Source organism: Homo sapiens, chromosome 22 (genome assembly GCF_000001405.40).
Source record: "Homo sapiens chromosome 22, GRCh38.p14 Primary Assembly".
Lineage (NCBI taxonomy): Eukaryota > Metazoa > Chordata > Mammalia > Primates > Hominidae > Homo > Homo sapiens.
Genome location: NC_000022.11, coordinates 32,474,458 through 32,498,829, shown reverse-complemented (window position 1 = coordinate 32,498,829; position 24,372 = coordinate 32,474,458). Strand labels below are relative to the sequence as shown.

At 39.0% G+C, this 24,372-nt stretch overlaps 1 protein-coding gene across 3 annotated transcripts, besides 9 other annotated features; it reads right to left on the bottom strand.

Moving 5' to 3' along the window:
* On the bottom strand, positions 1 to 24,019 carry FBXO7 (F-box protein 7). 3 transcript variants are annotated; one of them, NM_012179.4, is made up of 9 exons: positions 23,706 to 24,019; positions 19,555 to 19,849; positions 14,706 to 14,933; positions 13,621 to 13,762; positions 11,002 to 11,085; positions 7,649 to 7,744; positions 5,549 to 5,725; positions 3,300 to 3,337; positions 1 to 686 (listed from the first exon to the last, which is right to left on the bottom strand). In NM_012179.4, exons 1-9 carry the CDS (start codon positions 23,825 to 23,827, stop codon positions 300 to 302), a joined length of 1,569 nt encoding a protein of 522 aa, NP_036311.3. In that variant the 5' UTR covers positions 23,828 to 24,019; the 3' UTR covers positions 1 to 299. The 3 variants fall into 3 exon arrangements, with proteins under 3 accessions (NP_036311.3, NP_001244919.1, NP_001028196.1); NM_001257990.2 differs by lacking the exon at positions 23,706 to 24,019 and adding an exon at positions 23,432 to 23,562; NM_001033024.2 differs by lacking the exon at positions 23,706 to 24,019 and adding an exon at positions 23,432 to 23,562 and having other exon boundaries at positions 19,555 to 19,697.
* Positions 9,855 to 10,024: an enhancer, noted in NCBI's record as "experimental_63240 CRE fragment used in MPRA reporter constructs". NCBI's record gives its function as "activates a minimal promoter by MPRAs in K562 erythroleukemia cells, with activity observed for both the introgressed and non-introgressed 22:32884878 variant alleles {active_cell/tissue: K562}" and the evidence as "EXISTENCE:reporter gene assay evidence [ECO:0000049][PMID:34662402]".
* Positions 13,152 to 13,321: an enhancer, noted in NCBI's record as "experimental_63238 CRE fragment used in MPRA reporter constructs". NCBI's record gives its function as "activates a minimal promoter by MPRAs in K562 erythroleukemia cells, with activity observed for both the introgressed and non-introgressed 22:32881581 variant alleles {active_cell/tissue: K562}" and the evidence as "EXISTENCE:reporter gene assay evidence [ECO:0000049][PMID:34662402]".
* Positions 23,258 to 23,758: an enhancer, noted in NCBI's record as "H3K27ac hESC enhancer chr22:32871059-32871559 (GRCh37/hg19 assembly coordinates)". NCBI's record gives its function as "activates a minimal SCP1, AML or CMV promoter by ChIP-STARR-seq in primed H9 embryonic stem cells {active_cell/tissue: H9 hESC(primed)}" and the evidence as "EXISTENCE:reporter gene assay evidence [ECO:0000049][PMID:30033119]".
* Positions 23,429 to 23,738: a silencer, noted in NCBI's record as "silent region_13644". NCBI's record gives its function as "represses an Ori minimal core promoter by ATAC-STARR-seq in GM12878 lymphoblastoid cells {active_cell/tissue: GM12878}" and the evidence as "EXISTENCE:reporter gene assay evidence [ECO:0000049][PMID:35858748]".
* Positions 23,503 to 23,672: an enhancer, noted in NCBI's record as "experimental_63233 CRE fragment used in MPRA reporter constructs". NCBI's record gives its function as "activates a minimal promoter by MPRAs in K562 erythroleukemia cells, with activity observed for both the introgressed and non-introgressed 22:32871230 variant alleles {active_cell/tissue: K562}" and the evidence as "EXISTENCE:reporter gene assay evidence [ECO:0000049][PMID:34662402]".
* Positions 23,749 to 23,938: a silencer, noted in NCBI's record as "silent region_13643". NCBI's record gives its function as "represses an Ori minimal core promoter by ATAC-STARR-seq in GM12878 lymphoblastoid cells {active_cell/tissue: GM12878}" and the evidence as "EXISTENCE:reporter gene assay evidence [ECO:0000049][PMID:35858748]".
* Positions 23,749 to 24,259: a biological region, named in NCBI's record as "H3K27ac hESC enhancer GRCh37_chr22:32870558-32871058".
* Positions 23,759 to 24,259: an enhancer, noted in NCBI's record as "H3K27ac hESC enhancer chr22:32870558-32871058 (GRCh37/hg19 assembly coordinates)". NCBI's record gives its function as "activates a minimal SCP1, AML or CMV promoter by ChIP-STARR-seq in primed H9 embryonic stem cells {active_cell/tissue: H9 hESC(primed)}" and the evidence as "EXISTENCE:reporter gene assay evidence [ECO:0000049][PMID:30033119]".
* Positions 23,927 to 24,096: an enhancer, noted in NCBI's record as "experimental_63231 CRE fragment used in MPRA reporter constructs". NCBI's record gives its function as "activates a minimal promoter by MPRAs in K562 erythroleukemia cells, with activity observed for both the introgressed and non-introgressed 22:32870806 variant alleles {active_cell/tissue: K562}" and the evidence as "EXISTENCE:reporter gene assay evidence [ECO:0000049][PMID:34662402]".

Sequence of the window (24,372 nt, the reverse complement as noted above, 5' to 3'; positions counted from 1 at the left end):
TAATTTACACTTTTTTTTAATCTGGTAAGAACAGCATCAGAAAACAAACTTCAATCTAGAGGAGAACCAAGAGCAGGGAGATTGGCAGCCAACTATTCCCAAGGCCAACCTTGTCACAGAGGAACCTTTGGGTCATACCACCCCTAGGGCTATAAATGTATCTCTTAAAAGGTTTCTGGGAGTGCAACTCTCAACACCACAATCAGAAAATAACACTCGAGATCAGCACCCCAAGGAGTTGACATCTGTAGTTTAGAAACAAAAACAAATGGAGCTCCAGAAATGAAATTACAAATCAATCACATGAATGACAGCCGGCCATCAGTTGGCCGACCCCTGCTGGGTCTAAAGGGAAATCTGTCATTGGGGCCGCCTCGCCCTGGCAAGATGGGGTTAGGTCCTGGAAGTGGGCCAACTGGATCAAAGCGTGGTCTCAGTGGAGGAAACTGGCTGGGCGTCTCCCCAGGACCAGGAATGAGTGAACTGATTGGGTCTCCAACATAGGGAAGTGTTGGTCTTTGGTCATATTCACCCCCGATAATTCCTGGAGGAAGGCGGGAGCTAGGAAATGGCCTAGGGTGCAAGGGGTTGGGATAGAATGGAATGGTGTGAGTTGACGATGGCAGGAGCATCACAAACCGCCCTTTCGGGGATTCTTTTCTTTGTATGTGCCTCTTCCTGTACAGCTGTAGAAAAAAGAAAAATAAAAGAACAAGATAAGGTAAGTGATCTGGATGTTTCCCTTTAGTTCTAATTTGCTTTCATAGTAAAGATCTATAGGCACACCTCAGACATATTGTGGATTTAGTCCCAAACCAATGCAATAAACCAAGTCACACAAATTTTTTTGGTTTCCCAGTGTATATAAATGCTATGCTATGTTTACACTATAGTAAGTGTGCAATAGCATTGTATCTAAAAAGACAATGTACATACCTTAATTTAAAAATATGCTAACAATCACCTGAGCCTTTAGCAAGTTGCAATCTTTTTGCTAATAGAGGGTCTTGCCTCCATGTTCGTTGCTGCTGACAGATCAGGGTGCTGGTTGCTAAAGGCTGAAGTGGCTGTGGCAATTTCTTAAAATAATACAACAGTGAAGTTTGTCACATTGACTCACTCTTCCTTTCATGAAAGATTTCTCTGTACATGCGATGCTGTTTGATGGCATTTTACCCACAGTAAAACTTTCAAAATCAGAGTCAACCTTCTCAAACCTTGCTTCTGTTTTGTCAACTAAATTTATGTAATATTCGAAATCCTTTGTTGTCCAGGAATAGATTCCATTCCAAGAAACCACTGATAAAGAAAATGTGGCATATATACACCATGGAATACTACTCAGCCATAAAAAGGAATGAAATAATGTCTTTTGCAGCAACTTGGATGCAGCTGGAGGCCATTATTTTAAGTGAAGTAACTCTAGAATGGAAAACCAAATCTTGTGAGACCTAACCTATGAGGATGCAAAGGCATAAGAATGACATAATGGACTTTGGGGACTTAGGGGGAAAGGCTGGGAGGGAGGTGACGGCTAAAAGACTACATATTGGGTACAGTTGTACACTGCTTGGGTGACGGGTGCACTAAAATCTCAGAAATCACCACTAAAGAACTCATCTATGCAACCAAAAACCACCTGTACCCCAAAAACTATTGACATTTTTTTAAAAAAAGAAACCACTTTCTCTCTTTATCCGTAAGAAGCAAGTTCTCATCCATTCAAGTTTGACTGTGAGACTGCAGCAATTCAGTCCCATCTTCAGGCTCCACTTCTAATTCTAGCTCTCTTGCTAGGTCCATCACATCTGCACTTCCTCCACTGAAGTCTTGAACCCCTCAAAGTCATCCACGAGGATTGGAATCAACTTCCAAACTCCTGTTGATATTTTTATCTCCCCCATGAATCCTCAGTATGCTTAATGGCATCTAGAAGGCTAAATCCTTTCCAAAAGGTTTTCAATTTCCTTTGTCCAGATCCATCAGAGGAATCACCATCTCTGGCAACTATGGCCTGACAAAATGTATTTCTTAAATAATAAGATTCAAAGTCAAAATTATTCCTTGATCCATGAGCTTCAGAATGCAGTTGTTTGCTGACATGAAAACGTTAATCTCCTTGAACATCTCCATCAGAGCTCTGGGATGACTGGCTGCATTGTCAATGAGCAGTAGTATTTTAAAAGGAGTATTTTTTATAAGCAGTAGGCCTCAATAGTGGACTTGAAATATTCAGTAAACCATGCCATAAATGATGTACTGTCATCCAGGCTTTGTTGTTCCATTTACAGAGCAAAGGCACAGATTTAGCATAATTCCTTTTTTTGTTGTTTTTTTGTTTGTTTTTTGAGACAGAGTCTCACACTGTCTCCTGGGCTGGAGTGCAATGGAGCGATCTTGGCTCACTGCAACCTCCACCTCCTGGGTTCAAGCGATTCTCCTGCCTCAGCCTCCTGAGTAGCTGGGATTACAGGTCCACACCACCACATCCGGCTAATTTTTTGTATTTTTAGTAGAGACAGGGTTTCACCGTGTTAGCCAAGATGGTCTCCAACTCCTGACCTCAGGTGATCCGCCCACTTCGGCCTCCCAAAGTGCTGGGATTACAGGCGTGAGCCACCACACCCGGCCTGATTTAGCATAATTGTTAAGGGCCCTAGGATTTTCAGAATGGTCAACAAGCACTGGCTTCAAAAATCACCAACTGCATTAGCCCCTAACAAAAGAGTCAGCCTGTCCTTTGAAGCTGGGCACTGACTACTTCTCTCTAGCTATGAAATAGATGGCGTCTTCTTCCAATAGAAAGCTGTCTCACCTACACTGAAAATCTGTTGTGTAATGCAGCCACCTTCATCAGTGATTTTAGCTACATCTTCTGGATAACTTGCAGCAGCTTTTCCATCAGCACTTGCTGCTCCACCTTGCAGTTTTTGTTATAGAGACATTAGAATAGTACCTTATGAAACAATACAATATATTCTTTTCATAAGGTACTATCTTAACTAGCTGAACAGCTGATGACTACTCCAGCACAGACAACTCATTTAAATTTTGTTGCAAAAAAGAATGTTTTATAATAAAGATGAAAAATAACACAATGATAACATTTTTTTCCATATAATTATAATAAGGATTGAGTCTAAAGTAAAAGTTGAAAACATTTTCATTTACTGAAATTTAGCAATAAATTAAAACAGATTTCACTACATCATATAAAAGTGAAAATATACCCTTAATATATTAATTCACTAGTCATTTCTGTGTTATGGACATTAGTCTTAATATTTAAAAATACCTACTTCTTTCCAATCTGTGTCTTGAACTCTGACAGTATTGTCTACAAAGGAAAAGGGAAAAATAAGGATTTAAAAACATTTCATTCGTCCTGCATTAAACAGTGGGTTTTGTTTTTCTCCTAAGAAAAGTGAAACTTACCCGTTAAGCATAAAAAAAAAAAAAAACTAACCATTTATATAACACACACTATATCATTTGTACTTTCTTATCTAATTCAAACACTTTATTGATGGTTAAGGGTGATCATTGCTGCTCTGTGCTACATGGTAATTCAATGCAGTGTGATTCCTCAGGGACTATGGAGGAACATGTGGCTACTCTCTTCCTGCATTAACTGGTCCTACACTACCTCTTCTCCCCCTAATCTCATTTAGGTGTGTCACCTGCTTCTAATCCAACATCTCACGTTACACCAAACTGGGCAACAACCTCTGAGCTTCTGTGTTACAGCCCACGTTCATTACTGGAGGTCAAGCTGACTTAGGCTTTCATCCATATTCTGGTTACACTACTTTCTCCCAACGATGTCCTGAATGACTCGGCTATCAGAAGCATGACCATAACTAAGTATTTTTTAATGTACTTATTTATTTGAAATATGTGAAATGAGGAAAGAGAAACCCATTCAACTTTAAGTATACAAAAGAGTTTGAATAAAAGATGATATCTTCTCTACAAGTTACTACATTAGCATGGAAGTAAGATTTATAAAAGCTCTAGCTCCGTAACATTTTATCTACAGAAAAATCTGAACAGCTTACAAATGAGCTTGTGGGCCACAATCTAAAAATTAAAGAATAATTGTGCTTTAATCCTAAACTTGAATATACAAGTGAAAGGGTATTTGTTGCTTTTATAAGTATTTATATCATACTCTGCTTTTTCTCGGTGCTTCCATATACATCAGTCATTCTGTCTTTTCTTTTTTTACTATATTTTCAATTCTTTTTTGAGTTGGAGACCAGCCTGAGCAACACTGCAAGACTTTGTCTCCACTAAAAACAAACAAACAAACAAACAAAAATTGGCCAGGTGTGGGGGCGCATGCCTACAGTTCTCAGCTACTTATGAGGCTGAGGAGGGAGGATCACTTGAGCCCAGGAGTTGGGGGTGGCAGTGAGCTATGACTGCGCCACTGCACTCCAGGGCAACACAACTAGACCCTGTCTCAAAAATACACAAATAAATAAAATTGAATTATTTTTTGAGATGATGCTTTCTTGCTGCCAATTGTGACAAAATAACATTTTAAATGTCAAATTCAGGGGCATAAATAAAGCAGAAAGAGGACCTCAGGAATCAAAGAAGAAGAAAAGGAACAAACCAGGTCATTTACACTTCTCACATTTTGAAATTTTAAAAGAAAAAAAAATTTTAGCAATCCAAATGACTCTACATGATATTCTTTTTTTTTTTTTTTTTTTTAAGGGAGCTATCTACCCACCACATTTTTACAGTTACTAAGGTGGTATGTGTTAACATCACATATAGCAGTATCATTCAAACATTTATGTGAACCACATAAAAATTTTACATTGCAACACAGTATACACCTACCTATACATAATTGAAATAGAAGTTTACTCCTATTTTATAAATAGGAATACTATTTATAAAATAAATATGGATTTTTCCATTGTGGGTTTTGTTTTTTTGTAACATGACCCATTAAATGGATTTCATGACCCACCCCAGGGTCAAACATTCTGAAAACACTAATATGTAGTAAAATGGTGGTAGCAGAAAAAAAAGTTCCACAATCAGGCTTTTGGCCTTGTAGCAGGAAATCCTGATGCACAAGTTCTACCATCATCACTGCCAAAATAATTACCAGGTCACCATAATGTGACCATACAGAAATAAAGCTACCCTAGCAACTTGGAACAGGTCAACAAAACTCTCCTAACTTACACATTGGTCTCAACCATGAAAGCAGTTCAGAAATGCCAGCTCGTTTCTACGTCAGATACTGACTATGGTCTCTAGTGAGAAAATAAGCCTGTTTTACTTCCATTTCTCTATCCTGAAATAATCTTCTTAGTCTAATGAGTGATTTGTGTTGTGCAAAACACAAAAATGAGAGAGTTTTAGGGACACAGGCACAGGTATATGAAGCTTAGAGTCAGTCTCTTTAAGGCTATTTATTGTAATCATTTGCAACAGAAAAATCCTACAACTAAAAACTTTTGGTGAGCTGAGTAATCAAGACAATAAGAGCCCTTTCTTGTGAATATGTCATTACGGAAATCACCTCGAAAATCACGCAGATATAAAAACCTCCACAGGAGTGGGTCATTTGAAGCAGTAAAGAGGTCACGACAAACCGCAGACAAAGACAAGACGGAACGAACATCCAGAAGTCGGAAGATCCGTAGTTTCAGTTCCAATGGGAGGACGACCAACCCAAATACATCTGGTAGGTTCAGTGCTAAAAGGAAAAAAAGAGAAGTAACAGGTATTACTGAGTAAAGAACATCTGGCTTTCTCCACATAGTCAACAAAGTTGCCACTTGTTCCTTTCTAAAGTGACAGAAAATTAGATGGTACTCTTAATTATCCCCAAGTATGCATCATCTACAACAAATTTTTAACCCCAGCTTGACTATAATTACTATTAACTCATATAACTCTAGGCCCTTATTCCCTTTATGTTTTAGTGGAAAGACAAATGCTTTTTAATATAAATCAAATAACTATGATAATTGCTAAATACTAGCCAATGGTCTCTTCTGTCTCAAACATTATTCAATACAACAAAATTTCTTCATTCAACTACAGAAAATGAATAATTCACTGGCTTTTATATCTGTTTCCATGCCAGTTATTAACTGTGTGCCTTTGGACAAGTTATTTAAATGCTATCTTAATTTCATCTGTAAAATGGATTAATATTACATTCCACCTACTTCAATGAGTTGTGAGAAGTAAATGTATTAACACATATTAAGTGCTTAGAACAATGTTTGGCACACCAAGCATAAGCACTCAAGTGTTAGCAAATTACTATTATCTGAAGTCTAGCAGGCTAAAAAGAGATAGATAAATTCAGAAACAAAGCCAAGAAAGGAAAGGAAAAATAATATGTCCCAAGTTCAATGAAAATTATGTTTTGGTTATTAGCACCTTCAAAATATTTGTGATACTATTCTCCACTAGCAAAAATAATCAAAATCCAACAGACATATCTACATGTTTTTCAATTGGCATTACTCCCTTTCCCTTATCACCAACTACAGAGAAGACTACTGTAATAATAGACATGCCACCATTCAACTTGACACCAAAAACGTTTTACTTATTTCTCTACATATAGAGAGCAAATAAAAGCCACTATCTATTCATATAAGTCAAACTACCTACTAGTTGGAGAATTGTGGTAGATTGTATTATGGTTCTCAATCACTTCCTACGCATAATTATACTTCCCCATCCCACCACCATCAGGCTTGGCCATTTTTGTCTTATTTTTTCTGACAAAACGTGAGTGGAAGTGACATATATAATTTCTGGGCAAAAGCGTTGAACCAACACATAATTGGGCCACTGGCACTCCTTTCCTTCTACTACAAGAGGAGCATGTCCTGGATAAAGACAACTCCTTCAGCCAAAGCAAACCCACACACAACATGTACACGAGTGAGAAGTAAATTTCACTGTAAGACACTGAGATTTTAATTTTTTTAACTGCAAAAAAATGAGAAGCTAATATAAGGATCTCGAGTGAATTATAAACCTTATTGAATTATGATTTCATCATCTATAAAATAAGTACCACATAATTTACTTCGAAGTCATTAGCAGTAAATAAGAATGCATGTGAAATATCCAACTAAGTGCCTGCAAAGAGCCTCCAATAAATGGTTTAAAAAAAAAAACTTAGATCCAATTACAGACCATGTATTATTTATATATGTCTATATAGACATATATATCTAAATATATGTCTATATAGACATATATATCTAAATATATGTCTATATAGACATATATATATGTATCTACACAGAGAGAAAGAGCATCTATTATGTACCTGACCTCATGCTAGACCACAAGAATACAAAAGTAAGATATATTCCCTACCTTCAAGGTATTCCCAACCTTAGGTGGAAAGAAATCATATCAACAATTATAGTCCATGGAAAAGAGACTACAATAAAAATATGTACAAAATGGCATGGAGATACAAAGATAAAGTAAATAGCACTTAAGGAATATTAAGCTTAGTCTTAGAAGAGGAACATTTCGCCAGGAGCAGAAAAGAGGGCAGTCAGATGTCATACTCACCAAGAATATTAAGTATACTTACTATTCTTTACAGTCATTTAAATTGTGACAGTATTTCATCTCTTACCTTGTCGGGTAAAAGCCAGAAGAGGATACACCAGCTGGTCTTTAAAGAGGCGAGAGAGTTTCTGAAGATCTTTGTATATGTTGGCTACATTTTCCCCTAGAATATTTTTTAAAGTAAAATCAAAACCCAAAATCAAGTGAAAAAACTGTCCTCTATTTCTGCCAAACCCAATCAACATGGTGAATAAATATTCACAAATAATTCACAAAGATAAGCATGAACCAAATTCCCTCATGGAAGAAGTACAGTGCAAGACTTGATGAAACTGAATCTTAGATATAAAAGCTAAAAATTCCATGATATCAAATTAGTAGAGCTGTGCCCAACCTCTCTAGCTCATAGGCTGCAGTTGTAGAAAAGACTTGTGAGAGATTCATACATACGAAGATTTCCTGATAGCTATCAATCTGTTCTGGGCACTAAGGATACAGTGGAGAACTGCTCCTGTTAACGCTTAGAACCTGGTAAATTAATAGCATTTATCGCATGATGACTATGTATCAGCACCTGTGTCAAGCGTTTTTCAAGCTTTCACATCAGAAGTTCTTTCCTAATTACTATCTCCATTTTAAAAACAGGTCAAGGTACAGAAAGCCTGTCCAAGGCCCCATGGTTAGTGGCAGAACAGTGCACAAACCCAAGTCCGTGTGGCTCAAAAGCACTCATTTTTAGTCACCACACTGCTACTCAACATGTGGGCGACAGATCACCAGAACTGACAATACCTGGAACTGTTTAGAACTACTGAATCTCAGGCCCCCACAGACCTACCAAATCAGAACCTATATTTTAATAAGATCCCCAGGTGACTCATAGTAAAGTACGGACGCACTAGCAAACTGCAGCCGAGGTTCCCACTTGTTTTGCTATTTACCAAGTGTATAGCCTTGGACAAATAACCTGCCCCTCTGATCCTCACCTTTTTGCTCAACTGTTTAAAGGAGACACCACCACTACACCAGATAAGCGTTGTTATAATTGAAAGCTCCACGAGCAGTGCCTAGGGTATCAGTAGGCAATTTATGCTTGCTCCTTCCCCATTTCATATTTATGTATTTCACTATCTATAACAAATAAAACACTCAGTATAACAGGATCGATAAGAAGAAGGAAAGAGATATGCAGCTAATGTCTAAATCTTTGTTGTGTGACTTGCAATCTTGAGTTGAAATTTGCTGTCAAGATATCATTCTTTAAAATCAATTTGGCTCAAGGGCTTTTTTCAAATGTGAAAATTGATTTTCTTTAAATGAATGTTTTCCTTCAGCAACCTGGTATGTAACTATTTAATTAGGAACTTATAAATAAAAGGATAAATAACAGTGCCTAGTTATAGTTACTAGGTGCTATGAACCACAGTAAAAATTCATTAAAATGACTTGCCAAATGAGCAGCATATTCCTACTCAACATAAGACTTTATTAAAAATACTTCATTATAACAGTCCATAAACTTGTAATTTAACAGTATTTAATGTTCCTCCTCCCTTCCATTTCATTTTTCTTTATTTAAGAGAAACCAGATAAAGAATAACAATCTGAGCTACATTCCTGTAAAAGTTGTTTTAAAAGGCTGGGAGTCAGCCAAATCTATTCCTATCCTGTATTTCACCATTTATTGGCTCTGTGACCCTTAAGTAAGTGAGCCTCCTCTAGATCTGTTTCCTGATCTATAAAATGGGCATAAAACCTCTACTGCTGTAAAGTGTAGAGTGTTTCTACTCCCCATAACAAGGTCCTCCCTATACGGTGATAAATATGGAGTGTCGTAGCCAAGGAATTTCAAGTTTTTCTGATCCTCATGATAAAAGCCATCTATACCAATTCATCAGTCCAGTTTATGCATTTCCAACAGGGGCAAAAACTGGTCCTTGACGGGTTAAAAAGAAAAACTATTATATTGGTTTGTGATCCTTCAAAGGGTCACAGTACATAAATAAAACATACTATATTTGTGGTATGAAATTTCATGAAGGAGAGAGATTGAGGGGAAAATCTCCAACGGCTCCTTTGGGAAGTGAGAATAAAAAGATTGAGAAACTCTGGCCTAGTCTGACATTAAATGTTCAACTCGGTCGGGCGCAGTGGCTCATGCCTGTAATCCCAGCACTTTGGGAGGCCGAGGCGGGCAGATCACAAGGTCAGGAGTTCGAGACCAGCCTGGCCAATATGGTGATACCCTGTCTCTACTAAAAATAAAAAAAAATTGGCTGGGCGTGGTGGTGTGCGCCTGTAGTCCATCTACTCAGGAGGCTGAGGCAGAAGAATTGCTTGAACCCAGGAGGTGGAAGTTGAAGTGAGCCGAGATAGCGCCACGGCACTCCAGCCTGGCGAAAGAGCAAGACTCCGTCTCAAAAAAAAAATTCAATTCAGCTAATTCCCAATTTCTGACTCTACATCCAATCAGAGACCGTTATAAATATGTATTCTGCTATCTCCTTTTCCTGTCAGTTTTAGTTAGTATAAGTCAATCTCTCAGGGCTGATCTCCCCTAGGAATGAACAAGAATAAGCCTTTAGGCCTTCAAAGCAACAATGTCAATCTAGCCAGCCTTTCCTAAAGGACTGCTATAAATGCCATCTTCCCATTGTACCACAACATTCCCACTAGGCTCTTAAAACCCTCCTAAGTTTACTAAGAAGATTAAATGGAATAACATATGTACAGGCACAAGTACAGAATGAAACAGGCACTTAAAAAATGTCAGTTCCCCTCTCCACCTTATCTCTTCTGCTCCAACCACCTATAACTGCCTCTCACAGTTTGGTTTAACTGAAAAATGATAAAAGGGAAAACCTGTCTTCTTTGTATCTATTAATAATTTTATAGAGTTTAAGCAAAACCTTACCTAGAATGCAAACCTTTGGTAAAGTATCAATCTGTATAAAATAGCCATCAAATTTATATAGGTTTAAACAAACATTTTGATTGTAGTTTTTCCTCCAATAATCTTCAATAATGAACTTGACATTGAATTACTTTCATGAAACACAGATCCCCTCCATATTGGTTAAATACCAATATGGAGATCTCAATAGGGAGATCTCCAAAGATTAGTACAGAAACTATGAACTATCATCAGAGTGTAATAAATTACATACTAGTGTTATCTCATAACAATATAATTCAGCACACTATGACCCTAAGAAAAACAGGAAAGAAACAAACTCCTCAAATTATAAGCAAAACTTTCACATTTTTTAAACCTTTGCATTCTTAAACAAACCACATTGTCTTCAATATGCTTTAATCTCATATAGAAATTTTCAGTCTTTTGAACATTATCTTTCAGATTTTTTTCTTATATGAATTTCACAGAGTTTCACCCCAAAAGTTAAATAATGTTTGTATTACCTAGTTTCTCTTTGCAAATAAAAGATTCTGGTAGCAGCTGCAATCTTTTCACACTTCTAATCTCATTGTTGATTTTTAGTGTAGCTGTAAATAAACAAAAGAAAGATGATAAAGAATTCTGTCACTTCATCAACTGCCTTTCTTTTTTAGTATGGGCTTGCATTTCCTAGCTCCTAATATACTAAGGACACATTATACAAAACAAACTGTTCTTCGCCTATTTCTTTCTCTGATAGCAAGTTCAAAAGTGTAAACCTGGCATCACATGAAGTAAAATCACTCTACAACACCACCTTTAAAAACTACAGTAAGCATCTTTATATAAAATCCACTAGGCAGCAGCTTATTAGTAACTTAAAGATATGCAACAAGGTTAATCAGAGGCAACTAAACACAATAAAATCATTATTTCTAATGAAGTCACTAAAAACTCCATTTATTTTTTATTTAACCCTTGGCAATGAGTCTTCCTTTGTTCATTAAAATAATCTTGCTAGTTTTCACAGCATCATCTCTCTTCCAGACCCAAAGGATAAATATACTTGACATCACCAGAGGGTTCAATTTTAATCATGTATACAAAGGCGCACTTCATCTCATTCCATGAAAGAGCCCAGTGATGTGCTTATGCACATGTGCACCAAGCAGGATGCCTTGGGTGAAGGAAAGATTTAAAGACACACTGCTCCTTTTCAAAGAATCAATCCTGGAACGGCTGGCTGCCATGCAAGTCTGCCAAGAGCTGATTTGCCAAGAACAGTAAAGAAACAAAACATCAGAAATTAGGAAATCATCAAGACATTCAGCAGTTATTCTTTTTATATTAAGTATCCTGAATCTAGTGAATAGAGGTTATTATACACGTCATTAAGTGCTTTTATAAAAAATCAAGGCAAAATTTGCAACTACACATTTACTATTTGGTAACTCCAACCTTGCAAGTTATGATGTGATGTAGCAGAATGATTAGATGAAGGCAGAAACTGTTGACACTCTGTGTACAAGAATGCCAAAGTAAAAGCTACATTTGCTAATTATGATGAACTGCTGAATAGACATTGCTAGGTCCTAGTGTCATCAGACAGTCATGTCCTGACAAATGTGAAGTACCACCAAAGCTATTAAACCTAGTTTTGAGACTTTTAAATAACATTTCAAAGAATCTTATGACTAAAGAAATAGAAATTTCGTAAGAGGCCAGGCATGGTTCACACCTGTAATCCCAGCACTTTGGGAAGTCAAGGCAGGAATATTGCTTCAAACCCAGGAGTTTGAGACCAGCCTGGGCAACACAGTGACACTTCATCTCTACAAAAAATAAAATAAAAAATAGCCAGGTGTGGTGGTACACGCCTGTGGTCCTAGCTACTCAGGAGGCCAAGGAGGAAGACTGCTTGAGCCTAGGAGGTCAAGGATGCAATGATCCATGCTCTGCCTACTGCACTCCAGCCTGGGCGACAGAGCAAGACCCTGTCTCAAAAAAAAGAAAAAAGAAACTTTGTAAGAGGGGAATGAGAACTATCCAACATGTCAAAGATCAAGATGGCATGAGTCAGTAGCTTTCAAAATAGATTTTAGCAGGAAAAAAAAAAACCAACATTTTTTCAAACAGAATCTTACACAGAACTTCAATAAATGAAACAGATAAACATTTTGCTGCTCAAGGTTTAAGTGGTGATAGGGCTTCTACCTAACTTTCATCTCAGCAGAAAGGAGTAGCTACAGAACATACTGAAAACCTCTGACCTAAACCTTTGACCTAAGGCTTACCAAAGCAACTGCCTTTGCTAAACGAAAAAGATGAGCTATACTGAATAAAAAAACAACAAACGCAGCCCTCCCAATCTTACCACGCTATCTTTCTAACTAAAAGGATAAATCTCAAAAAACAAAACAGAACAAAAATGAAAGCTCCTAGTCATTCAAATGGATCTCCAGTATGTGTGATTATGACAGAACACTAGGAGTTGATATGAAACAAAGTGGTACCTGAACTAAAACACAGAGATGGAATGCATTGCTATTCCAGTGAAATTTCTTAATATGAAAAATAAACAGGAAAAGTTATTCATACAGAGTGACATTTGTTGGGGGAGGCCCAGCAAATAAAACACATACTTACTAAGGCCCCAGTAAACTTAGCATTGTTGTTGTGCATTGCTGGTCACAGGGATGCCAACTTGGATAAATGGTGACCCCAGGTCTAGCTCCCCATGTCTCAGTTCAAGACCTTCGTTAAAAAAATAAAGCCATCCACAGGCATAAAGAAAAAGTATTCTCCAAGGAGTTCATGTGTAATAGGCTCATTTCACTCCTATTATCAAATACTGATAATATTGGATAATATTAAATATTATCCCCCAGAGCAAAATATTACAAAGATTAAGACATCAAAAAAATGGATGCCCTAAGAATGAAGGGTGCTGGCCTAAACAACTCAACAACCTCATATTCCATGATCTTCCAGACACATGTTATCAGTGGCCTAGGAATTAAATACAGTTGAGAAGGACTCACAACTGTATCATGATAGCCAATCACTGAAGTGGCTATAAAACATTTGGAAAGAAACGTCTAAGAATCCATAAACCAGCAACCATGACTATGCTATCCAATTACCATTTACAACAATCAGGTTTCCCAAAGGCACACAGGTGAGAGTAGCGGAGCTGCCCTCGCAGAGAGGATGCATGTACTGCAGCTTATACACCCCGCTCAACTTCCACTTCTCCGGCATGGACAGTGCTTTGGCTTCGGTGCCCTGGGGAACGAAATGAAAGGGAAACAAATAATGAAGAAAGGTGTTACTCTCAAAAAGATTAAAAATCCAAAAGACTCCTAACTTGTTTGAAATAATCACTCCACACAGTCCTCTTAATAAAATGCATCAAATCATTAACATTGCCAATATATTTTATATTGTAGGATAACCATATTGTATAAGATAATATATTAGAACACTTTTAATCAAAATTTTTGTTCAAATAGGTAAAACTGCATCATGGAAACAGGGATTGATCTCTCTCTTCAAAGACTCACTTCTCTCCTAGCAAAGCCATATGATTATTTAAAACTCCGGCTCAAATATCACTTCCTCCGTAAAGCCTTTTTCAAAGAAAAATTGTTTGCCATTTCCTTTCATCCCCTAGCATTCTATTCATATTTCCATTACACTTCAATTGTATTATTATCTATGTTTACCTGTGTTATTTCTGAGTATCTTTTTATTCATCTCTCTCCTCTATGTATGGACTCCTTGAAGACAAGAAATATCCCAATATTTTTATATCCTAATTTCTAGGTCAGTGCATGGCATGCTGCAGGTGTGCACTGATCACCGAACTACTCTGTATCTTTGTAACTTATAACATGGCTCACAGACCAGCAACATTGGTATTATGCAGGAGTATGAAGAAGTTCACGGTCCATTCTACAGTTACTAAATCAGAATCTGCATTTTAATAAGGTCCCCAGGTATTCCAAAGCGCATTAAAGTTTGAGAAGCAATATTCTAAATGTTCTCCTCCATGAATTCCTGGCATCCTATATATGAGTATGTTTCTCCCAGAACTTCACCAATATAGCACAGTGCTTTATATTTTTGTCTCTCTCTGCCACTCTCAGACTACGGGCAACTTGAGAGCAGGAACCATCCACATGTATGAGCAATCATAAGATGTCTGTGTTTTGCTTGCAGTACTTACCTGAGGTATGTAACCTGACTCCAACATGAGAAGATGTATCAACACTATCAAGGCATCATTGGCATCAGAACAGTCAGCTGATTGATACAAGGTCTCTAATGAATGTGGCACTTGCCCTTCCACCGATTCACTACAGAGCATGGGTTCTGAGGGATAGAAACCTGTGCCCTCTGCCATATGCGCATTATCTTGAATTGACTCAGCTTCAAAATTTTGACTAGGCCCTAACTGAAAAAGGAAAACAAAACAATGAATTAATTAAAGACTTATTTTTACACTATACATTTTTGTATCCTAAAGTGAACTAAGTGCTGAAAGTCAAAGTACATCATTGGGTTCAGAAATGGGAGACATTTTAAGTGAGTCCTTACAAATAAATAAGCCTGCGACCTACTCTTCCATCCTGAATTCCTTACCTCTGTTAATTCTAGCTGGTATGTCAAGAACCTGGAAATCATCCTAGACTCCTCCCTCCCTAACTAAACCTTGTTCCACATCTGATCAGTCTTCAAAGTTCCCTGAAACTAACTCCTAAATATGTCTAAAATTTGCCCCTTCCTGCTCTATTGGCACTTCAAACTCTCATCATTTATTTCCCGACATCCAGCAAGAGCTTCCGTTGCAAGTATCCCTTCTTCAACTTTCTTGTCTTCCAATACACCCCAGTCCCTGCTGCCAGAATTTTCTTGACAATTAAAAATCTGATCATGTACTATGTCGCAGCTTAAAATTCACCAGTACCTCCCCAACATAAACAGCATTTCCCTCAATTGTGCCTTAGATGTTCTTAGGAAAAAAGGTGGTGCACACGGAATAAGTGTGGAAAATACTGCATGCTGCAGCCACCTAACTTCACCCTCCATATTCACAAAATACACTATTCGCATTATATAAGCACTGAGGAGTCTAATAACAATAATAGTGTGTGCCTAACACTTTACCAAAAAACACTATCCTCCGTCCTCAGCAGTCAACATCCCTGTGACACCATCTCATGAAACTAGATTTTCAGAGGACACTGAGAAATGCAGGTCTACAAATGAAGACCAAACTTCTAAATCCCTTAGCATACAAAGTCCTTCATTACCTGATCTCTGACTCATTATCAAGTTCACTTTCTGCCAGTGCCTTCTTACTCATCCCAGTATTTTCCACTTCTTCAAAAGAGGTAACACAGACCACAACTCTGCCTTGCAACGGGCTTGATTACTGCACCTTATCACACTGCACTGTATTGCAATTTTCTGATTACATATCTGCATCCTTCCATGACTGCAAGTTTATAAAAAACCAGACTACATGTCACCCATTTTTGTAACCCCAGTAAAGTACCTAGCACATAGCAGGTATTCAATGTTTGCTGAACAAATGCTGAAGGATAATACCTTACAACTTCATAATGTCTTTATTTTCAAAATGTTTTCTTATTTGCACTTTATAACAATCCTATAAAATAGGCATGGCAGGTATCGCCTTTTTATAGATCCTATAATTATAAATCAGAAAGATTAAATAACATAATCAAGGTTACCAGCTAATAAAAATTTGAAACGAACCCAGATCTCTAAACTTGCAGTTCAGGGCTTTGAGATGTAATACATGGCTTCAAAAAAAACTAAGTTACCTATATTAAGTTTGCTCAGAAAGCTTGTTTCCTAGGCATATGCCCAACTCTTAATGCAAAGCATACGTTTCGTCTTTTTAGGGTTTGTTTAAAGAAGGGGCAAAGGAAATTAAAATTACACAGTATATGTAAAAGGTTGGAGAAATGGAGGGGAGCCGGAGGTGACAGCTGTTCTTCCAAAATCTCTGAGGACCTAAGCCCTAGGGCTTATGGAAAAGATCCAAAGTCACCTGTTAAAACCTAAAGGCCAATGACAAGTCACATTACCCAAAAAGGAGGTATGGCACAAAAATATTTCCATATTTCCTAAGAAAACAGAAACAACTACATTAAAAACCACTTAACATCAAGCTAAACTATGAAACATAGGTTTTGCTTCTTTACCACTATGTCTAACTTTTGGCCATTTACTACTTATTGGCAGTTGTGTGGGACAGAATATATGAGGAAAAATGAAAAAGGGTACCCTAGGCTGAGTACATGAGAGGGAGATATCAAAATCCCCTGCTGGGCTTGTCAAGCCTTACTACTACTCCATAAGAACCACTGACATTCTCTGAGCTATTCTGATATGAATATTTATCAAATTCTTCACATGTGTAAAAATGAAAAAAAAAAGGTGAGCACCACACCTCTCTAAACAGATCATTTTGCCATATGTCATTTACAAAAGACTAAAACAAGTGACTAAGATGCATGAGAGCTAATATTAGGTTCTGATACCTGCTACCCGTTTCTCATTAAAGACTCAAGAGGCACTCGATGAATTCCCAAATATGATGAAATAAGAAAACTGATATTTAATTACAAGAGTAAATTTACCTCCTATGGTTTCAAGTTTTACGCATCTATTTTCCTTTTCTAATGCTCCATTCTACATTACAGAGTGTGATGTACTTGAAAGCATTATTTATGAGATCTTGAGCTCAGTTTCCATACTCTAAAGATTTTCCTGTCACCCTTTACAAGTCTTGGAATACAAAACAATATGCAAAATCTTAGAACTGAAATTAGTAACTTCAGGCAACATTAATTTCTCAAAATTTTCCAAAAGGAAACTAGCAAACTATCACAAATACTGTGAAAAGCTTCATCTTACTAGACAACTTTAAAAGTACACAGAAGTAAAAGTAATGGCCCCTACTAAGTCATCCCAGAACAAGTCTATCAGCAAAAAAGACTCAGAAATATAATTTAAATATACAGCGAAATATTCTTACTCATTCCCCAGTTTACCTCTATGAGGCAGAAACACACAGATAAAACAATAACTTTAAAAATAAATTAAAATCCACATATCTGGACATAATTTTCACAATTTACCAATCTATTAAAAAGTATTTTTTAATATGTCTATACTTAATGCCATGACAAGTTACCATGAATACTTATACTCAAAAATGTTTAAGGCCAGCAATTAAATTGAGGTGATAAGCATACATACAAAAACCAATTAACAAGAAGGCATGTGTATTGGTATTAAAAAAATAAAGGTGATCATTTGCACCATTCAAAAAATTAAAAGGGCGGATAAAGGCCAGGCACGGTGGCTCACATCTGTAATCCCATTACTTTGGGTGGCCAAGGTGGGCAGGTCACTTGAGGTCAGGAGTTCAAGACCAGCCTGAGCAACATGGTGAAACCCCATCTCTACCAAAAATACAAAAATTAGCCAGGCGTGGTGGTGTCTGTGGTCCCAACTACTCGGGAGGCTGAGGTGGGAGAATCGCTTGACCCCGGAAGGGTAGGGTTGCAGTGAGCTGAGATTGTGCCACTGCACTCCAGCCTGGGTGAGGGAGTGGGATCCTGTCACCAAAAAAAAAAAAGGTGGGAAAAATGAGGAGGCATGTACAAGGCAATAAAGATAATCAGATAATCAATACAAAGAAATTAAAGAAAACTATTGGGCTATGGTTGGCAAGGGCTTAGGAAGATGGGTAGAAATATAGACTAGAGAGGGAGGAAAGGTAACAGGTTCCAGTCTGGGTGAACAGCAAGAGCAAAGTCACAAAAGTAGTCACCAGGTTGTGTGTGTGCACATGCATGCAAGCAGGTGAATGTGCTGGTTGGTGGGGGCGGGGGAAAATGATGGGTCTGTTCTGATTGGAGATGACAGTTTAAAGGAAGGAAGAACAGAAACTAGCCCTAAAAAAGTTGAGTGGAGTAACTTTTCAGAAAGCCTTGAGCACTAGGTACAGGAGGACAGACACCATTTTCCTCTTCTGTAAAATGACAGGGTTGAACTAGAGATATATTGTCTTTTTCAGCTCAAAAATTATGAGCACAAGTTTATGAGATAGAGTTATGAAAGACAGCAAGGGAACAATAGCATCAGAACCATGTAGGAAGAAGGCAAATCCAGAAAACAGACTGAGGAATAAAGCCATGGAACCCGAAATGGAAAAGAAGAACTGACAAAGCTTATTAATGGGCTAGATTTAAGGAGTCAAAAATCACAGAAAACCAGCAGTGCCACTGACAAAGAAGGGAACTGAGCACACATATTTCCAAATTTATGTTCAACATCTAAAGTCTGCAATGACAATTTAAAATCCAGGTATAAATATCCTGCAAGTCATCTGGAAATAATTAGACCACATCTATAGCCTTAATGAGCGGACCAGATCAGAGAAGCAAGGCTAGGAATCATGAGCTTAGGAACAATAATAGAAGTCAAGGAATAACTGATCTGAAGGAGAGTATGTGAACAAAACAGACAGACACTAGGTACTTTGGGATGCCAGCCCCATATTGGTACAGGCATTTGGCAGTTAAAAAAAATATATTCTATAAAAATATAATCTGCAGCCAGGCGCAGTGGCTCATGCCTGTAATCCCAGCACTTTGGGAGGCCGAGGAGGGCAGATCACGAGGTCAAGAGATCGAGACCATCCTGACCAACATGCTGAAACCCCGTCTCTACTAAAAATACAAAAATTAGCTGGGCGTGGTGGTGTGCACCTCTAGTCCCAGCTACTCGGGAGGCTGAGGCAGGAGAATCGCTTGAACTGGGAGGCAGAGGTTGCAGTGAGCAGAGATTGCGCCACTGCACTCCAGCCTGGTGACAGAGTGAGACTCTGTCTCAAAAAAAAAAAAAAAGAAAAAAATATATATAAAATGTGCAATCTATCGATGATAATTATCCTGACTGGAACAGAATTCAACTGAGGTGTTCAATATGACTTATCACCTACTCTATTTGATATATTGGTGTTTAATACCCACCATACTGTCGTCATTCCAAACACCAGACTGGGCTGCCTGTCCTTGGAATGAATCACTTGGTTGTTCATCCTGCATGCTAGTCTGATTGGAGCTGGTGGCCAAAGAGGGTTGCTCATTATTCTGGAGTGAAGAATGCTCTGAATCTGTGGATGAAGGTATATTAGGCGCTGGAATGTCATCTTGAAGAATCAAACATATCAAGTCCCCAGAAACAATCCCATATGAAGCCAAGGTCTCTTCATCTCCAGTGAGGGGATCCTTGTAGTTCAATGTAATTGTAAATCGGGTATTAGAACTGCCAAGAAAGACAGATAAGCATAGTAAGAACTACCTACTTCTAATACCTTCAATAGCACATCTGAAGCATACATAAGTACACAGTATGACCCTAGAAGAACTAAGTGATGAAGAGACAAGGTCTCACTATGTTGTCCAGGCTGGTCTCAAGCTCCTGGCCTCAAGCAATCCTCCTGCCTCAGCCTCCTGGGTTGCTGGGATTACAGGTATAAGCCACCATGTCCAGCTACATTTTTGTTTTTGTTTTCGTTTGTTTTTAGAGACAGAGTCTCACTCTGTTGCCCAGGCTGGAGTGAAGTGGCACAATCACAGCTCATGGCAGCCTCAAATTCCTGGGCTCAAGCAATCCTCTCACCTCAGCCTCCAGAGGAGCTAGGACTATAGGCACGCATTACCCTATCAAGCTTATAGTTTTGAGAAAATTATCAAAAGTATTTATCAATGAATGCCTAATCTATAGATTTCTAATGGCTAAAACTCTCCACCTGGGGGACGGGATACAGTAATCCTCTATCACTAATCCATGCTTTCCTCAATTCTAAGATGCACAAATTTTTTTTGACATCTTTGAAATTAAGATACTTCCTAAAATCAATGACATATCAATTGACAGCATTTTCCCCTGCTGTTACATAAAACAATATGTCTTACAAGTGACAGCAACTAAGATTCAGTGAAATACCTTTAAAATACAAATTAGATCACATCATTCCTTCACTTAAAATCTTCCAATAGCTTCTATTTGGAATCCTTAACCTAACTTCCAAAGCTCAACGTCTGACCTCTTCCCATTTCTCCTACTGCATCCTGTGCCATCCATCCTCTCTCACTGTTCTCTATTCACATGAGCTTTCCATCCGTTCCAAAAAGCAGATCAACTTCATTGCAGCCTTCGGGCCTCTCCGTTTGTTCTTCCAGATCTTCAAATGACTGACTCCTCTTCATCATTCCAGTCTCAGCCCAAATGTCACCTCTTCAGAGATGCCTTTCATTCAGACTCCAGCGCTCTCTATTCTGTTATGTTCTACTTGAAAACATCGTATTTACTTGTCTATGATCTGTCTACCCTACCTCTGCCACTACAACTTAAGTTTCATAAGATCAGCGATCTTGTCTGAACAGTTCAAACCATATCTTCAACACTGGCAAATAAAGTACTTGTGAAATAAATGCAACCACCAAACACTAGTTGGGAAGATCAAGAGATGAGCGTGAAATCAAGGATGTCTATTCAATATCCTTACAGGACAGTTTACTTATAATGGTTCCGAAAAACCAGATCCATATATTCATAATCACAAAAAGTTAGAGGAGTATTATGTATATGACTGAGTATAAATTCATCTCTCTTACTGATGATGACAAGCTAAATTCACCCTTCTACTGATCATCAGTTATGATGCCTTTTAGTGGAACATAGCGCAAACCCAAAAGCCCACGTTAAACAAGCTCAGAATTCAAATAAGCCCGGAAGCAACAAACTCCCATTCTTTCTGCATCACAGATTATTTGACATTAGAAGAATAAAATGTTTTTCATCACACAGTGGTGAGGAACAATAACAAAACATTATAAAACATTTTTAAAAACATTTACACTCAGCAATGCTAATTTCATTACTTTTTTGAGAGGTTAACAAAAGATGAAGTCCTTTAAAAATTATATTGTTTACTTATTCTTACAATGCTGCATTTTGAAAAGTGCTCCAAATAATTCTTGTTTTTATTTCACTCGTAAATATATTTTTTCTTACTGATTGAAGTGTCCTTGGTAGAGAAATTAAAATTACTGAAATAGAAGCTATTCCTGTTTGCTAGAAAACAAGTGGCCCTGCTTCTCTTTTCAAAATGCTTTGATAAACAAAACGTTGAAAATCTGCCATTTGCCCACAAAAACACCACCCCAACTTTGGCAGAAAAAGCAAAAACACCTCAAATGAACTATGTGTTTATGGGTCATTTGTCACAGCAAAAGGTTGCTTTTTAAAACAGTATCTAGTACAAGGTACGTTCAAGTATCTGTTTGCAGAAAAGGTCATGGTCCGCTTAATAAATATACCAGCTCTTCCTCCCACTTTAGAAAAAGGGAAAAGCTATTTCTAAAGTAATATATAGTTTTCCAGGATTCTACCTCTGAAATTGGGGCGTTAAGAGGAGTATTTAATTCCAGGAAATGAAATTCTAGAAACTCCAGCCTTCTTAGAAGTATTTCATGGCAGCTCTGCCTATGGAGTAGCCATTCTTTTATTCCTTTACTTTCTTAATAAACTTGCTTTCACTTTTCTCTTAAAAAACAAAAACAAAACAAATAAAAGCATTTCATGACAATCCTAGCTCCACTTGCTCAGTAAAGATATTTTTAAAATAATATCACATGGACATATTTTAAAACTGCACCTTTATTAGAAAATGAGTATACTTTCAGAAAAAATGAGTTTACTTTCACAAGCTGAAGCTTAAATTCTGTCCAGGTAACCAGCCTCAACTGTAAAAAGAAATCTGAAAGAGAAACCAACGTGCCCTTTTGGGCAGTCATATTGAGTTTCACGTCCTTTCAAGACTGCCTAATTTAAAAATAATAAAATATATATATACTTGGTAATACCTTTAAAAAATAAGTTTGAAGATTTATTCAATCTTCTACTCGTAACCTACTGGTAACGATGCCAGTATGTAAAACACACAGGTTTAACAACAAGAAATAACAGTAGGCATGTCACTTACTATAATGTTTAAAAGGAGTTATGTCAGTATCTTATTTAGGGTTTTTTTTTTAATCAGGAAGAAAACAGGCTTACTTTCAATCTAATAATGTCTTAACCAGGAAAATGAAAGGGCGAGAAGTTCAGAATAACGGCCTCATTTTACCCAATTCCCTAAAAATAAGGTGAAAACGTAGGAAGGTTTGCTTTTGTTTTGAAGAATTCACCTAAAAATCCCCAGGGAACATCTTTTTCATTTTTCCTTAGCACACTCAAGTTTCAAATTCACTAGCTCAGTATTTGAAGAGGACCACTCTTACCTTGCCGCTTTACTCCCAAATTATTGTCCCCAAAAAGTATCTTTTAGGGAAACAAAGCAGCTTCACCTGCAGTCCCACAAACCAATAACAGAATATGATCCTTTCTCAACTTTACTGCCCCCAAACTGCAAGCTCTCAAGATCAACGTTTGCCTCAGTTTTAGCAAAAAAGCAACATTTCACCCAAGAAAATGAAATGGTCTGAAACACGCCTACACGCTGTCCTTTCTAAAACTTTTCGGCGGCGAAGTCCAAGCGCTCACCGCGGTGCTCGGCGCATGAACACAACAGAATCTAAAATTGTTGCCGCTTCACAGCAGCGATACAAGCTACCGGTGGCCTCGGATTGAGGGCAGATTTTTAACTTCTAGCAATTTCCAAACTTTTTCATTGAAATACTCCAACAGCTGAAGAAATTAACTCGGACCCCTCACAGTCCAGAAAGGTTTAACCCAAGCCAAGCTCATCATTTCCAACTTGAAATCTAACCAGTTGTGGAAATTGTGCGTTCCCTCCTCTCCCTGGTTCCGTTTACTGCAAAACCAGAAGCCATGACTCACCGAGGAGGGGACCAGAGCCCCCGGGAGGCCGGGCCATGTTCTCCAGGAGCCGGACCCCAGCCGACCACCCGCGCTTCCCGTCGCCTGCACCCTCCGGCTCCGCGACGCCCGGAAGAGCCCGGGCCTCCCGTGAAGGCCCCCCCGGCGTCCCCGCACTTGGCCTATCGCCCGGCCACGCCCGCGCCTGCAGCCCACAGATGACGCCAACCCGCCCTGCACCCACCCCAAGCACTCCCCACTCCCCGCGGGCCGCCCAGCCCCGGCCCCAGCGTACCTGTACCCCCAGGTGCACAGCAGGGACTGCCTCAGGTGCGAGCGCAAATGCCCCAGCGTCGGCTCCGTCTCGGGCACCTCCAGCGGCCAGGTCCGCTTCAGAAGCCGCACCCGCAGCCTCATGACGGCGGCAGGCGGCCCGAGGGGCCTGGACCCGGAAGCGGCGACGGGGACGGCGGCGGGGCCGAGCAGCTCCCGCCCCAAACGGCGACGACCCCGGACTGGCGACTACCGGAGCTGAGGGGTAGCTGAGGCGAAACGGGGAAAGAGCCCCGCCACAGTGGCCGCCCTGCCACTCGGTCTCTGGAATAGAGCGCCCGCCCCTCTCCTGAGGGCGCCTCCTGGAGCCGACCCCGAGAGCTGGAGGCGGGCAGGCGGCCTAAAGGAACCGGGCCTCTCGGGGTCGGCCGATCGATGACTCCGCGCGCAACGGCGCTGCCTGAGAGCGCGGGCACAGTGCGCAGGCGCCGAGATGCGGCCGCTCGCTGGCATCCCAGATTTTCCGCGGCGGTGGCTGGGACTCCCAGTACTTACTCCCTGTGTGCGTGGAACAACGGTAGCGCTGATAGGGATGCTGCAGACAGACAATACAGTCGCCACTCCCCAGGACCAAGTGTCACCCCCTTTCTTCCGTGGCCCTCAGTTCCAGCGGCATCTGCTCTGAGAAG

Excerpts from the sequence above, each read along its gene's own strand:
- FBXO7 (NM_012179.4), bottom strand. The coding sequence starts at position 23,827 with ATGAGGCTGCGGGTGCGGCTTCTGAAGCGGACCTGGCCGCTGGAGGTG. Across the intron at positions 14,934-19,554 it reads TTTGGAATGACGACAGTATG|TTAGGGCCTAGTCAAAATTT; the intron begins GTGGGTATTAAA and ends TTCCTTTTTCAG. Across the intron at positions 7,745-11,001 it reads TATTTGCAAAGAGAAACTAG|GGGAAAATGTAGCCAACATA; the intron begins GTAATACAAACA and ends AAAATATTCTAG.